Source organism: Homo sapiens, chromosome 16, assembly GCF_000001405.40.
Source record: "Homo sapiens chromosome 16, GRCh38.p14 Primary Assembly".
In the NCBI taxonomy this organism is placed as follows: Eukaryota; Metazoa; Chordata; class Mammalia; order Primates; family Hominidae; genus Homo; species Homo sapiens.
In genome coordinates, this window is record NC_000016.10 from 27,309,165 (window position 1) to 27,323,405 (window position 14,241).

General features: G+C 49.9%; 1 protein-coding gene across 9 annotated transcripts in view, besides 8 other annotated features; it reads left to right on the top strand.

The window, feature by feature from the left end:
* Positions 2,001–3,200: an enhancer, noted in NCBI's record as "CDK7 strongly-dependent group 2 enhancer chr16:27322486-27323685 (GRCh37/hg19 assembly coordinates)". NCBI's record gives its function as "activates an origin of replication core promoter dependent on BRD2, BRD4, P300/CBP, MED14 and CDK7 cofactors, with strong dependence on CDK7, by STARR-seq in HCT116 cells {active_cell/tissue: HCT116}" and the evidence as "EXISTENCE:reporter gene assay evidence [ECO:0000049][PMID:35650434]".
* Positions 4,023–4,753: an enhancer, noted in NCBI's record as "H3K27ac hESC enhancer chr16:27324508-27325238 (GRCh37/hg19 assembly coordinates)". NCBI's record gives its function as "activates a minimal SCP1, AML or CMV promoter by ChIP-STARR-seq in naive H9 embryonic stem cells {active_cell/tissue: H9 hESC(naive)}" and the evidence as "EXISTENCE:reporter gene assay evidence [ECO:0000049][PMID:30033119]".
* Positions 4,023–4,830: a biological region, named in NCBI's record as "H3K27ac hESC enhancer GRCh37_chr16:27324508-27325238".
* Positions 4,531–4,830: a silencer, noted in NCBI's record as "silent region_7300". NCBI's record gives its function as "represses an Ori minimal core promoter by ATAC-STARR-seq in GM12878 lymphoblastoid cells {active_cell/tissue: GM12878}" and the evidence as "EXISTENCE:reporter gene assay evidence [ECO:0000049][PMID:35858748]".
* Positions 4,592–14,241, top strand: part of IL4R (interleukin 4 receptor) — a 51,023-nt gene continuing 41,373 nt past the window's right edge. For 4 of the 9 annotated variants that reach the window (NM_000418.4, NM_001257407.2, NM_001257406.2 and 1 more), the window contains exon 1: positions 4,810–4,856. The gene's annotated coding sequence lies outside the window, so the exon portion shown is untranslated. Of the gene's footprint in view, positions 4,654–4,809; positions 5,068–5,489; positions 6,403–14,241 lie in introns of those variants that run through there. The other 5 variants (XM_011545826.3, XM_011545825.2, XM_017023211.2 and 2 more) reach the window with 3 other exon arrangements.
* Positions 4,851–5,060: a silencer, noted in NCBI's record as "silent region_7301". NCBI's record gives its function as "represses an Ori minimal core promoter by ATAC-STARR-seq in GM12878 lymphoblastoid cells {active_cell/tissue: GM12878}" and the evidence as "EXISTENCE:reporter gene assay evidence [ECO:0000049][PMID:35858748]".
* Positions 5,501–5,550: a silencer, noted in NCBI's record as "silent region_7302". NCBI's record gives its function as "represses an Ori minimal core promoter by ATAC-STARR-seq in GM12878 lymphoblastoid cells {active_cell/tissue: GM12878}" and the evidence as "EXISTENCE:reporter gene assay evidence [ECO:0000049][PMID:35858748]".
* Positions 9,601–9,800: an enhancer, noted in NCBI's record as "active region_10615". NCBI's record gives its function as "activates an Ori minimal core promoter by ATAC-STARR-seq in GM12878 lymphoblastoid cells {active_cell/tissue: GM12878}" and the evidence as "EXISTENCE:reporter gene assay evidence [ECO:0000049][PMID:35858748]".
* Positions 10,162–10,211: a silencer, noted in NCBI's record as "silent region_7303". NCBI's record gives its function as "represses an Ori minimal core promoter by ATAC-STARR-seq in GM12878 lymphoblastoid cells {active_cell/tissue: GM12878}" and the evidence as "EXISTENCE:reporter gene assay evidence [ECO:0000049][PMID:35858748]".

The following is a 14,241-nucleotide window of genomic DNA, read 5'->3' on the forward strand; positions in this document are numbered from 1 at the left end:
TGCACATGAGTGTTGATAGCAGCTTTATTCATAATTGCCAAAAATTGGAAGCAACAAAGATGTCTTTCAATAGGTAGAATGGATAAACTGTGGTACATCCATACAATAGGGCACTATTCAGCCACAAAAGAAATGAGGTGTGAAGCCTGGAAAAGACATTGAGGAACCTGAAAAGCATATTGCTAAGTAAAAGAAGTCAGTATTAAGAGACTACATACTTTCTGATTTCAATTACGTGACATTCTGAAAAAGGCAAAACTATGGAGACAGTAAAAAAATCAGTGGTTTCCAGAATCCAGGAAGAATAGGTAGAGAATTGGGGATTTTTAGGGAAGTAAAACTATTCTTTATTTTTTTCTTTTTTTTTTTAGAGACAGGGTCTCATTCTGTTGCCCAGGCTGGAGTGCAGTGGCATGATCATAGTTCACTGCAGCCTCGAACTCCTGGGCTCAAGGGATCCTCCTGCCTCAGCCTCTGAGTAGCTGGGACTACAGTGCACCACCATGCCTGGCCTGTTTTTTGTTGTTGTTGTTTGTTTGTGTTTTTTGGTAGAGACCGGGTCTTGCTATGTTGCCCAGGCTGGGAAACTATTCTTTTTGTTGCTACATGTGTGGATCCATGGCATTATACATTGTTAAGACCCAGAACTTGGCTGGGTGCATTGGCTCATGCCTGTAATCCCAACACTTTGGGAGGCCGAGGCTGGTGGATCACTTGAGGTCAGGAGTTCAAAACCAGCTTGGCCAGTATGGGGAAACTCCGTCTCTACTAAAAATACAAAAATTAGCCAGGCGTGCACCTGTAGTCCCAGCTACTTGGAAGGCTGAGGAGTGAGAATCGCTTGAACCTGGGAGGCACAGGTTGCAGTGAGTTGAGATCACGCCACTGTACCCCAGCCTGGGTGACAGAACAAGACTCTGTCTCAAAGAAAAAAAAAAGACTCAGAACTGTGCTGCAGAGGTTAGGCACAGTGGCTCATGCTTGTAATCCCAGCACTTTAGGAGGCTGAGATGGAAGGATAACTTCAGCTTAGGAGTCTGAGACCAGCTTGGGCAATGTAGCAAGACTGTCTCTAAAAGTATAAAAAAAAAAAAGCCTAGTGTGGTGGCATGTTCTTGTAGCCCAAGCTACTCAGAAGGCAGAAGCAGGAGGATCCCCTGAGTCCAGGAGTTCCAGGCTGCTCCAGCCTGGGCAACAGAGTGAGACCTTGTTTCCAAACAAGCAAACAAACACAAAACAAAACAAAACAAAACAAAACCCCGAGAAACAGTGAAACAATGTATGCTATGGACTTTAGTTTATAATAATGTATCAGCATTATAAGGAAGGCACTACACACTAATGCAAGATGTTGATAAAAGAGGAAATTTTGCATGGGGGAGAGGGATGTATGGGAACTCTCAGTACTATCGGCTCAATTTTTCCATAATCTACAATGGTTCTAAAAAATAAACTCTATTAGTTTTAAAGACCGAAAGGCTTGGAAACAAGTAAGCGTGTTAGGATATAATGAGGATTGAGCTTATACTGAGGCAAGACTTGGGAACCCCTAGATGGGGGAACAGAGGTTTTACTATCTTGGTGCCTTTGGACCTGCTCCCAGGACTGACGGAGCAGTCACAGATAAAGTCTGGGCATCTTGGGCAGGAACTTGAACAGTGGGACTGTATGCAAGAAGACATTTATTATCTCTCTTGCACCCGAGAACAATGCCCTGTTTTCTTTAACTTTGTAATTTGACATAATTTCAGACTGGCGGGAAAGTTGGGAGAAGAGTACAAAGAATTCCCGAAGTCTCTTCCCCCAGATTTCCTGAATGTCTTAGCCTCTGACCACAGCTGTGCTTTCTTTGCCTGTCTTCTCAATGCCACGTTCATCTCCATTTCACAACCAAGCAACAGACCAAGGCAACAGGCTTCGACTTTGCTTCTTTCTCATTTTCATCCTGATAAGAACAGCAATTGACATTTTGAATGCCTAATCCACGCCAGGCACTATTCTAGGCACTGCGATACGTACCTTGCCATTTCACCATTTCATAGCCCTATGAGGTGGGTCTATTATTATCCCCATTTTACAGATGGGGAAACTGAAGCACAGGGAGGATGATCTACTTTGCCCAAAGTCACATAGTCAATACGTAGCAGAGTTGGTATGCCAATGCCGGCAGTCTAGAGGCAAGCGAGGAAACCGACGAAGGATGACTTGACTGGGAAAACAGGATGGGAGCCCAGTTTGGGAGTCCAGGAGGGGATATAGCCCAAGCCATACATTCCCAAAGGACTTCAAAGGTAGACTTTTGCTGTCGTCTCCCGATGACATGGGGCACAAACTCAGAAACACAGACAGGACAAAGGCAGCTTGCAGGGCTGAACTGCCTGGGATGAAGCATCAACCGTGTGGGTGTGCGGATGTGTGAGTAATGAGTGTGAGGGAGTATGAGTGTGGACGGGAGTGGAAGTCACACCTAATCCAGAGGATTCCTATTCCTCCTGAAACCCAAGCTTCCAGGAAAGCCCTTCCTGTGGCCTTCTCTCCCTAGTCCTCTTAGCGTCTGCCTGGGCTGCCCCCAGTACGGGGTTTATTACACTCAATTGCTTACATCTGTTCACTTCAATTGCTTACGTCTGCTCACTTGTCAGTGCCCCAACCAGGTCCTCAGGGCTAGGAAGCAGGGGCTGGATCTATTTCTTGCTCTCCCTAGCCCCCAGCTCACGACTTGGCATATGGAGGCATCCACAAACAGATGCCGAAGGATGGGAGTTTTTCCACACTCCCACGCCACCTCCAGGTATTTGCTCATGCTGTCCCTTCCACCTGCATGTTTTTCTGCATTGATTCAGGCACTGGTCAGAGGTCACCTCCTCCAGGAAGCCATCCCTGACCCCAGGGAACTGACTTATCTTTACTGTCACTTCCGGGGGTGGGTTGGTGGCTGTCTTGCTCACTTGGTTGTAAGGTCTCAGAGGGCAGGGATTGTGTCTGTTTCATGTCTTCAGGTCTGCGTCATCAGCGCTTGTCACAAGGTTAGACACACAGTAGGACCAAGACAGACCAAGTACATGAAAGAATGATTGACATATGGGCCAGGCGTGGTGGCTCACACCTGTAATCCCAGCACTTCGGGAGGCAGAGGCAGGCAGATCACCTGAGGTCAGGAGTTTGATACCAGCCTGGCCAACATAGTGAAACCTCATGTCTACTAAAAATACAAAAATGAGCCGGACGTGGTGGTGCACGCTTGTAATTCCAGCTACTCAGGAGGCTGAGGCAGGAGAATTGCTTGAACTCAGGAAGTGGAGGTTGCAGTGAGCTGAGATCACCCACTGCACTCCAGCCTAGGCAATGGAATGAGACCCCATCTTCAAAAAAAAAAAAAGAATGATTGACGTGCAGTGGCCCCTGCCCTGGGAAGCCAACCCTCACCCTCCACCACAGCACTTGATCCCATTGGGCAGTCCTTGGCTTCCACCCTCAAACTGAGAGCTCCTTGAGGGCAGCAGGGGGTCAAATTACTCTCTGGGTTCTCAGCACTGCCCAGTGTGAGTCCAAATATCTCCCACCTCCCCTGTCTCCGCTCTTTCCTCACTCAGGGCTCCACAGCCATGCCGGCCTTCAGCAATTCCTCCTGCAGGCTGAGCTGGTTCCCACAGGGCCTTTGCACTAGCTCTTCCCTCTCCCTACACAAGTCTTCCCCCATAGGCTCTTCAGAGTCTCAGCTCAAATGGCCTCTACTCAAAAAGCCTCTTCCAGACCACCTGCCCCACTGGTCTAAGAGGTCCCTACTTTCTTCTTGGGCCCTCCTGACCTGAAATACTTTGTTGAGTGTTTTCCCCCCAGTCATCTGGCTGCATCCGGGTTCTTATGGTGTCCAGACGTTAATGGTCTATGGGGCCTGTGTTCGAATCCCAGCTCCACCCCTGCTCCTGCTTACCTGCAGAGTGATTCTGAGTTTCTTTCTTTTCTTTTTTAAAATTTTATAAATGTCAATTTTTGTAGATAGGGGTCTCGCTAACAGGGTTGCCCAGGCTGGTCTCGAACTATGGGGTTCAAGTGATCCTCCCGCCTCAGCTTCCCAAAGTGCTGGGATTACAGGCATGAGCCACTTTGCCCAACCCATTTTGAATTTCTTAAGGACTCTGTGCCTCAGTTTCCTGATTTGTAAAACCGGTGATAGTATCACTCCCTTATAGGGTAGTTGCCAGGATTGAACGAGTTAACATTTGCAGTGCCCGACAGATTGTACTAGTTACTGATTGAAGGGCTGTTTTACTATCCAAATGTGGCTGGAGTAGGAGTTGGGTAAACATTTATTGAAGAATGTGCAACCACTCTCACTTGGAAGCCGGGCTGTTAGGAAGGGGAGGAGGATTCCAGTCGCCCAGCCCTCCCCCACCAAACGCAACTGCCCCGGCGCAAAAGAGGCCGCGGAGGCCAGGCAGGAGCAGGTCCTGGAGGCCTGGTCGGCGTGGGCGTTTTATTCCGAGACCAAGGGGATCCACTGCAGAGTTCTCCGCTGGGCGTGACCTCGGGCTACGGCGTGGGAGGAAGCGCGCGGCAAGACACCCAGCGAGGTGCTGGGGTCGCCCCCAGGAGAGGACGGCGGCTCGGACTGTCCGGCGGCGGCGGCGGGGACAGCGACAGGGGCGCGAGGTGGCCGGGACCCGGGCCGGGCGCGCCGGGCGGGGCGGCGCATGCAAATCTGCCGGGCGCCGGGGCGGGGAGCAGGAAGCCGGGGCGGGCTGGGTCTCCGCGCCCAGGAAAGCCCCGCGCGGCGCGGGCCAGGGAAGGGCCACCCAGGGGTCCCCCACTTCCCGCTTGGGCGCCCGGACGGCGAATGGAGCAGGGGCGCGCAGGTAGGATCCGGGGCCCGCGCGCGGATCGGGTTGCGAAGGTATCGCCCGGGCACGCCGGCTGAGGGCGTTCGGGAAGGGCTCGGCCGCCGGCGGGGACCACGGGGACCACCCCGACTCCGAGCGGGGCCCGAGCCCGCGACTCTCGGTGCGCGCGGAGCAGCGCCCGGTTCCGTCCTTGCCGCCGAACGGCAGCGGAGGCGCGAGGCCCGGGGTACGTGGACACCCAGCGCTCCCCAAAGCCGGTGCTGGCAGTGAGACCTCCGCCGGGACGGCCTGCGGGGGTGGGGGGCTTGGGGTTAGGCTGTCGGAGGCCACGCAGCCCCTCTTCTCCGGGCAGTGGCGCCCAGCCCTGCGCTCAGGAAGTCAGTGAGGACTTCGGAGAGAGAAAGGGTGGGGAAAGTTCTGAGAACTGTAAATTTGAGTAGTAGGTCAGTGAATCGGGGCGGTCTCCGCCTCCGAATATCAGATGGACCCAATAATCGCGATCATTGACTGGGACTTGTTTTACTGAAAGGATGCCAAGTGAAACCTCCCACTAACTTCTCTGTGGCCGGTGCTGTGCGTCATGGACATTGTACAGATGAGGTCACCAAGACCCCAGCCGCTTTAGTAACTTGCCCTAAGGTGCCGCCCACTTGGGAGTCCGTGGGGCAGCAGGACTAGAGCCCAGGCAATCCCACGCCAGAGCCAGCTGCTCTCCATCTCTCAATCACGTTTGAGGAGCCCCCACAATAACCAGAATCTCCGGGAGATTTGCTTAAAATGCAGATTCCCAGGTCCTTGCCCTGAGATTCAGATTCAGTAAACCCAGGAATCTGATCTTTATTTTATTTTTAAAAATTTATTTTATAAAGATGGTGTCTCACTATGTTGTCCAGGCTGGCCTCAAGTGATCCTCCCACCTCGGCCTCCCAAAATGCTGGGATGACAGGTGTGAGCCACTGAGCCCTGATTTTTTTTTTAAACAAAATCTGGATTTCTTAGACTTAAGCAAGATAGGGGACCACTAGTTTGTCTGCTTCTGGGGTTCAAGGAATGCCCCCAGGCCAGCGCTAACCCTGCTCCAGTTCTAGTCTCTCCCCTTCCCCAGCCCTCTGGGAGGCATGACCCACTGCACTTCCCTGCCCCCAGTAGCCTATGAGGAGCCCAAGGCATTTGCTGGGACCTCAGTGCCTTTATCAAAATCCCAAAGTCCAATGGGGAAACAGGCTCAGGTGTAGGTTTGGCCAGGGTGTCCTGCACATTAGGGCATTCCAGGGTCCTGCAGGGGTTTCTTAGAACTCGGCTAGCCCAGCCCATGAATGGGAGGTGACCTGCTAAGCCACTCATTCACTCACTAGCACTCATTCAGCTCCTGCGAGGCCCTGGGTGGTGTTCTGGGCACTGGTGCTTGCCTCAAGGAGCACCCCCTCTGCAGGAAGACAGACGTGAGGGCTGGGAGGGTGCGGATGCACCAGCGGCTGCAGGACCACAAGCCAGAGGGGATCAGCTCTTCAAAGGTCACTGGGCCAGGCTTCCCAGCACCCAGGGACCCTGAGCTAGCCTTGTGAGTAGAGCAGGGGAGTCTGGCAGGTAGAGGATGGGAGGTAAAGGGAGGCACAGAGTGGGCGGAGGCTGGGAAGTGTGAAAGGGCACTGTGTACAGAACCTAGGGAGTAAGCAGAAGCCAGAGATGGATGGAAAGTTGGGCTGGGCTGCATTGTGGAAAGCCTTGAATGCCATGCCAAGGAACTTGGGCCAGTGTATTCACCTTGGCTTGAGTTGTAAAAGCAACAATGCAGATTCCTGGGCCCCACCCTGGGCCTCTGGATCTGAATCTGGAGGGAGACGCTGGGGAGGCAGCAGGGAGGAAAACCTGCAGTCACTCACCCCATTTACAACACATGCAGTTACCGGCAGGTCCGAGATAACCTAAGGGTTTCCAAATGCTAGGAAGTGACTCAATGACTGATATGTTTAATACAATACAATCCCGGTTGCAAAATGCCCAGGGCAAGGGTGGGGGTGTTCAGTTTTCTAATGCTCCCAGTTCAAAAAGGAGCTGAAATGAATTGTCAAAGAAGTGACAAGCTGGGCGCAGTGACTCACACCTGTAATCCCAGCACTTTGGGAGGCTGAGAGAGGATCGCTTGAACCCAGGAGTTTGAGACCAGCCTGGGCAACATAGTGAGATCCTGTTCCTACAAAAAAAATTTAAAAACTTAGCCAGGCGTGGTAGCAGGTGCCTCTAGCCCCAGCTATTTGGGAGGCTGAGGTGGGAGGATGGCTTGAGCCCAGGTGGTCAAGGCTGCAGTGAACTATGATTGTGCCACTGCACTGTAGCCTGGGTGACAGAGCGAGACTCTGTCTCAAAATAAACAAATACATAAATACATGAGAAGAGAGAACCTTTTCTACCTCCCCCATCTCCCTGCCCTCTTCCACCCACCCCATCTGGGACGATGGAGGAGAGCGTTTGGGATTAGATGCCCCACCTCTCGACTGCCCTCACTGGTACCTGGGAGTGAGGCCAGGACAGAAGCCGCCTAAGTACTGTTCTTCCTCACATTTGTAAAAGTGAACTTTCTTGAGGGTTGATGACATGTTTTATAAGCTACTTCACACAATGTCCAACACCCAGTGGGTCCACAATCAATGTATATGTCTGTTGTTACCTGTCAAAACGTATAGCTGGGGAGTGACAGTATGGACTTGAGCCAGATCACCCAGTGCAAATGCTGGCTTTGCTGCTTACTGTGTAACTGACTTCCCAGAGCCTCAGTTTCTGCATTTATGAGATTATAGTGACTATGCCATTGTAGTGATGACTAAATGAGTTAATATATGTCAAGCATACAAAACAGTACCTGGTATGTAGTACAAACTATGTATTTGTTAAATGAATACCTTTTTTTTTTTTTTAGAGCCATGGTCTCTCTCTATTTCCCAGGCTGGAGCACAGTGGCACAATCATAGCTCACTGTAGCATCCAATACCTGGGTTCAAGTAATCCTTCCACCTCAGCCTCCTGAGTAGCTGGGACTACAGGTGTGTGCCACCACGGCTGGCTAATTGTTTTTATATTTTTAGAGACAGGATCTTGCTATGTTGCCTAGGCTAGTCTTGAACTGCTGGTCTCAAGCAGTCCTCCTGCCTCAGCCTCCTAAAGTGTTGGATTTATAGATGCGAGCAAACGTGCCTGGCCTAAATGAATAAATCTTTACTGTTGCCTCCTTTGAGCTTTATTGGTTGGGATTTAGTCCACTCATTTTGCAGGTGAGAACTGAGACCCGGAGATGAATGCAGTAGCCTTGCCTCAGGTCCACATCTGAGGGACAGACTCCATCCTACTTTTCTTCCCATGTATTCTTTCCTGCTTGTACCAGTTCACTGGGGTGACCAAGAAAGACATTTCTGAGTTTTCCTCCTGGCTGGCACAGTGGAGACATGCCCAGCCACGTTTAGCTAGACTTACCATGGCTGGGCTAGAAGAGAGGCCAGGAGCTTGTCTGGAGGTTGCACAGACCTGCCCTTGGTGAATGTGGATCGGAGCGCCCCGGCAGAGGCTTGAGGTGCTACAGAGGCTGGGGGATCCACTGTCAGACCGGGTGCATCACCACTGTTTTATGATATCCAGCAAATTGCTCTGCGTCTCTGAGCTTAAGGCAGAGAGAAGGGCCTGAGCTTGAAGAGGGGATCCCAGGTTTAAATCGGAGCTGGCTACTTCCCAGCTCTCCACTGTGTAATCTGGAGGAAGTTGTTTAACCTCTCTGAGCCTCCCTTTGTTTTGTCATGGGTGTTTGCAGGGAGAGCATTCATGAGATAGTTTGTATAGACATTTTGCCCTTGGAAGGCGCTCAGTGATTGCTGTTTTTCTCTGCATTTTGGACCGAGTCCCTTCTGCGTATCCAGCACCTGGCTTCCTCCTGCATTTCTTCCTCAGGAATTTATTGAGCACCTATATGTGCCAGAGCATCGGACCAAGTCCTTTGCTCTCCTGGGGTTTAGATTCTAGTTGAGCATACAGGCAATGTACAACCAATACATATGTTCAGATCGGCAGCTTTATCTGTTATTCTGAAATCCACGATTTCTGAAAACCGAAAGTTTTTCATAACTCATTTTGAAGCTAAACTTGAGGCTTTTTAGAGTCTTCATCCTCTTCGGTGTGATGCTCAGATGTCTTTCTGCAGAGATATTAGTGCAATTGATCTTTGGGTGCTTTCCCGCCCTGCATGATGGGCATGTCGGTGGGTATTTTATACAAGGTGACCTTTCTACAGCCTGAGTCATCCTGAATTCTGAACTATGTCTGGCCCCCAGGATTTTACAGGAGAGAACATGGACCTGCAATATCCTATCAGGTGGAGACTGTGCTAGGAAGGAAAGCAAAGCTGGGTGCAAGTGGAATCAGGGAGGGCTTCCCTGAGGAGGTGACATTTGAGAGGGATGAGGAAGAGAGGGCCAGGTGGAGGGACTCACAGAGGACGGAAGACTCCACTTCCTGACTGGCCTGTGCTTACCCCTCATTCTGCATGCACAGTTCTGTCTAAATGCGTCCGTTCTTGCCTTTCCAAGAAGTGCTGATGTCTCTTACGTTTCAAGTCTAGCTCTGACTGACTCATTCTCTCTTTAGGTGCCCCCACAGGCCTCCTCACCTCTTCTCGTTTGCTTAAGAAATCTGAGGTCTGCGCTAAAGCCAGCCTGGGTGCTGTAACCTCTCGGCCGAGGATGGTGCCCAGCTGGGCTTGCATCTGGAGTTGGAGGAAGTGGGTCCCGGGAGGGGAAGAGGAGCCGTGGGGCCTTCCAAGGGTTTGGTGGAATTGAGTTCCTGGTGGGGAGGGGCTGTGTTCTGGGTCTTAGAGCCTCTCGCCTGCAAAGCAAAGTTGAACGTAACACGCGCTCACATATCTCGAGTGCCAGCCCGGGGCTAGGTGCTTAACGCTTGCTTAGCCAAAGTGCCAGGGGCTGGGGACACGGGAATGAGTGACCCAGAAATGAGGGCCCTCATGGAGCTGAAAGCATTCTGGGCTTGGTGACTTTGAGGAAGTGGCTTTTGAACTGAGACCTGAAATACCAAGGCATGTGGATATCTGGGGAAAGAGTGATCCTGGCAGTGGGAACAGAGAGTGCAAAGGCCCAGAGGCATGAATGAGCTTGGTGTGTTTGACCCACAGCAAGGAAGCTGGTGTGGTTGGATGGAACCAAACAAGAAAGAGGTCTAGGAGCAGAGGTCAGGGAGGGAGCTGGGGCCAGATACCTGCATTGTCTCATTTAACTTGTGTAATAACCCTACCAGATAGGAGCTACTCTCATGCAAATGTTACAGATGAAGTAACAGAGGCACAGAGAGGTTCAGTGACTTGTCCAGGGTCACACACCTGAAGGTGGCAGAGCAGGGCTGTGAACCTAGAAGCTCCAGAGTCCTCAGTCCTCACCATGGTGTTTAAACACAATAAAATCTATGCCTGAGTGCTGAAGACACACCTGCCATTTAGATCGATCCACTTTTTTACATTGTCGGTGTACTCCCTGCCATCCATCTGCCCAGAAATACTGTGAATGTGGGCAGCGCAGGACTGGTTCCTCCAAGCCCCATTTTACAGACAGTCCAATCATTTTACATATTATTTTATGAATGAGCACCTTCCTCAGTGTCTCAGACCAGGGGTCCCCACACAGCAGGGCCACACAGCAGGAGGTGAGTGGCGGGTGAGTGAGCGAAGTTTTATCTGTATTTACAGCTGCTCCCCATCGCTCGCATTACCACCCAAGCTCGGCCACCTGTCAGGTCAGCTGAGGCATTAGATGATTCTCACAGGAGCACAAACCCTTTTGTGAACTGCACATGTGAGGGATCTGGGTTGCGTACTTTTTCTTTTTTTTTTAAGACGGAGTTTCGCTCTTGTCGCCCAGACTGGAGTGCAATGGTGCGATCTTGGCTCACTGCAATCTCCACCTCCCCATGTTCAAGTGATTCTCCTGCCTCAGCCTGGTGGCTGGGATTACAGGCCTGTGCTATCACACCCAGCTAATTTTTGTATTTTTAGTAGAGACAGGGTTTCACTGTGTTGGCCAGGCTGGTGTCGAACTCCTGGCCTCAGGTGATCCACCTGCCTCAGTCTCCCAAAGTGCTGGGATTACAGGCATGAGCCACTGCACGCGGCCCTGGGTGCGTGCTTCTTATGAGACTCTAATGCCTGATGATCTGTCACTGTCTCCCATCGCCCTTGGATGGGACCATCTAATTGCAGGAAAATAAGCTCAGGGCTCCCACTGATTCTGCATTATGGTGAGTTGTATAATTATTTCATTATATGTTACCATATAATAATAATAGAAATAAAGTACGTAATACATGTAATGTGCTTGAATCATCCCGAAGCCATGGCCCCAACCACGGCCTCTGGCAGTGGAGGCTGGAGTCCACATCACGCTCTGTGCTGGGTGCAGGAATGGAGATGAGTGGGTGTCCTGCTCATTTCCCTGAGGAGGAACCTGAGGCTCAGGCTAGAGACTTACCTGGGTGACACGGCTCCTAAGTGGCAGAGTCCAGATTCAAACCCAGGGCTACAGACCCAGAAGCCTGTGCATTTAACCACGGTTCTGAGCTATCCAGCCCAAAGAGGAGAGTTTAAAAGGATTACATTTCTTCGTTGGAAATCAGTGAGCATAGTCGCCCAGAACCATTTTTGAAAAACTCAGAGAAGGCCTATGTTTTCCTGAAGCGGCCAGGGAAGTATTCTGCCTTTTTAAAAGGGAAGACTGAATTCTAGGGAGGAGAGGCACCAGCTCTCTGGGCTGGGCAGGTCTCCAAGCTGGCAGGGCCACAGCCTCCCGACGGTCTTGCCTCTAGCATATTTCTTCCAGAAGCCACATTTCCACAGGTGGGCAGCTCTAACTGGGAGAAAATCTTCCTGAGATTTAGCCAAATTAGCTTTCTTTCTTTCTTTTTTTTTTTTTGAGATGGAGTCTCACTCTGCTGCCCAGGCTGGAGTGCAGTGGCGCAATCTCAGCTCACTGCAATCTCTGCCTCCCGGGTTCAAGTGATTCTCCTGCCTCAACCTCCCGAGTAGCTGGGATTTCAGGCACACACCACCACGCCTGGCTAATTTTTGTATTTTTATTAGCAATGGGGTTTCACCATGCTGGCCAGACTGGTCTCAAACTCCTGACCTAGGGTGATCCGCCCACCTCAGCCTCCCAAAGTGCTGGTATTACAGGTGTGAGCCACCGTGCCCAGCCCAAATTAGCTTTCTAGGAGCTTCCACTTTCTGAGTCTGTTTCTGCCTCTTGGAGGTAGTGACCATCTCCCTCCAAACTCGGATACTTCTCTTATTCAGACTACACAACTGTAGTTATTTCAGGTATTCTCCCTGACTCAGGAAATTATAAGTTTGGCCTGCCTTGGCACATGAGTCAACTGGTTGGAGTCCCACGCAAAGACTGTTTGTTTGGTCAAAGAGGAAGGAGACTATTACCTCCTTGGATCTAGAGCTTATACTTCTGTTGATGCAACCTGGAATCATACTGTGTAGCAGCCATATCCCACTTGGAGTGCATATTGGGCTTGTCAGCTAAAATCTCCATGTTTCTCTTCTATATGAGCTGCTGTTAATCCAAGTTTCTTCTATTCTGAGAGTCCTTGTCTAAAGCTAAGAGGTTCCAGTTTTTCATGCTCTCTAATAAATCTACTTCAGGCTAACATGCTATCATTTTTTCTTTGAGTACTGCTTTGGTTTCTTTCCACAACTTGTTACACAATGTTATTCACTGCCCAGTTTAGAATTTCCCTTTTGGTTCCCATTTTAAGACTTATTTAATTATATGCTTTTTAAATTTTTGAGACAGATAGAATTTTTTAAGTTATCTTTTTATTGTTGATTTCTAAATTTGGTCATCATGGTTGTTGTGGTCAATATATGTGGTTCCTATAATATCAGTGGTAGAGAATTTGCTGAGATCTTTATAGGATTTTCTGGTCATTTTTTTCCTCTTGTGTTTGAAAAGAATGTATATTTTCTGTTGGGTATAAGGTTCTAGAAATGTATCTATTTGATCAAGCTAGCTATTATATTATCTATATTTGTTATGTCACTATGTGGTTTTTTTTTTTTTACCTGATTTACCTCCCACCGTAATACAATTACAATTCACCATAATAGAGGCTTTGTTAAGTTCTCCTTTTGAGTCTGTCAGTTTTTTGCTTTATTTTTGAAGCTATGTTGTTAAGTGCATAGCCATATGAGTAGAATAAGGGTTCAGGATTTTTATACCTTTTTGGTGAATTGTTGCATTTTCCCGAGTAGCTGGGACTACAGATGTGCACTACCACGCCTAGCTGATGTTTGTGTTTTTTGTAGAGATGGGATTTCGCTATGTTTCCCGGGCCAGTCTCAAACTCCTAGGTTCAAGCAGTCTGCCCACCTCAGCCTCCCAAAGTGCTGGGATTACAGGCATGAGCCACCGCAGCTGGCTGAATTGTTCCTTTAATCAGTATAAAAGAGCCAACTTCCAGCCTGGGCAGCATAGTGAGACCCCATCTCTACCAAAAACTAAAAATTAGCTGGGTGTGGTGGCGTGCACCTGTAGTTCCAGCTACTTGGGAGGGCGAGGTGGGAGAATCACTTGAGACCAGGAATTCAAGGCCGCAGTGAGCTATGATTGCTCCACTGCACTCCAGTCTAGGTGACAGAGTGAGACATTCTCAAAAAAACAAAAACAAAAAAACCATCCACCTTCTCTCTTCTAATACTTACTCAAGACATCATTGTCATGAATTCTATTTTATTGATGTCAGTACTCCTGTACTAATAAGCCAGATGAGTTAAAAACAACAGCAGCCTTGCAACCAGCCATGAAGCAAGTGATCTTATTCTCATTTCACAGATGAGGAGACTGAGGCTCTGAGTGGACTCCAGCCTGCCACGGTCTCCCACCGAGTCAGGTTGGAGCCTGCACTTAGGCCCAGAGTTATGCTTCTGTGTCTCAGATGCTTGGGGGTCCCTGCCCACAAAGGTGGCCCCCATGTCTGTGTGTCCCCACCCATCCAGGAATGGTATGGGGTGAGACAACAGGAAGAGCTCCATGGGTAGTCCCCACCCACTGCCTTCCATATGCCAGTCTGCAAGCAGAAAATGAACGGGAAGCTCTTACCTGTGCCCATGTGTTGTCCTGGCTTTGGGTTTGCCCAGGGGGCAAAGTCCTGGTCATTGTTGAGACAAGTTCACTGCTGCTGAGGGCCGAGCAAATGGTGACAAAGGCCAGATTCTAAATTCCTACCTGGTTACTTCCTGCTCCGTCACCATCACCTCGGGCAAATTCTGAACCTCCCTCAGCCTCATTCCTCCATCTGTGCTTGCAGGGAGAATATTTTACTGTATCTTCCATAGTGAGCTTTCCAGGAG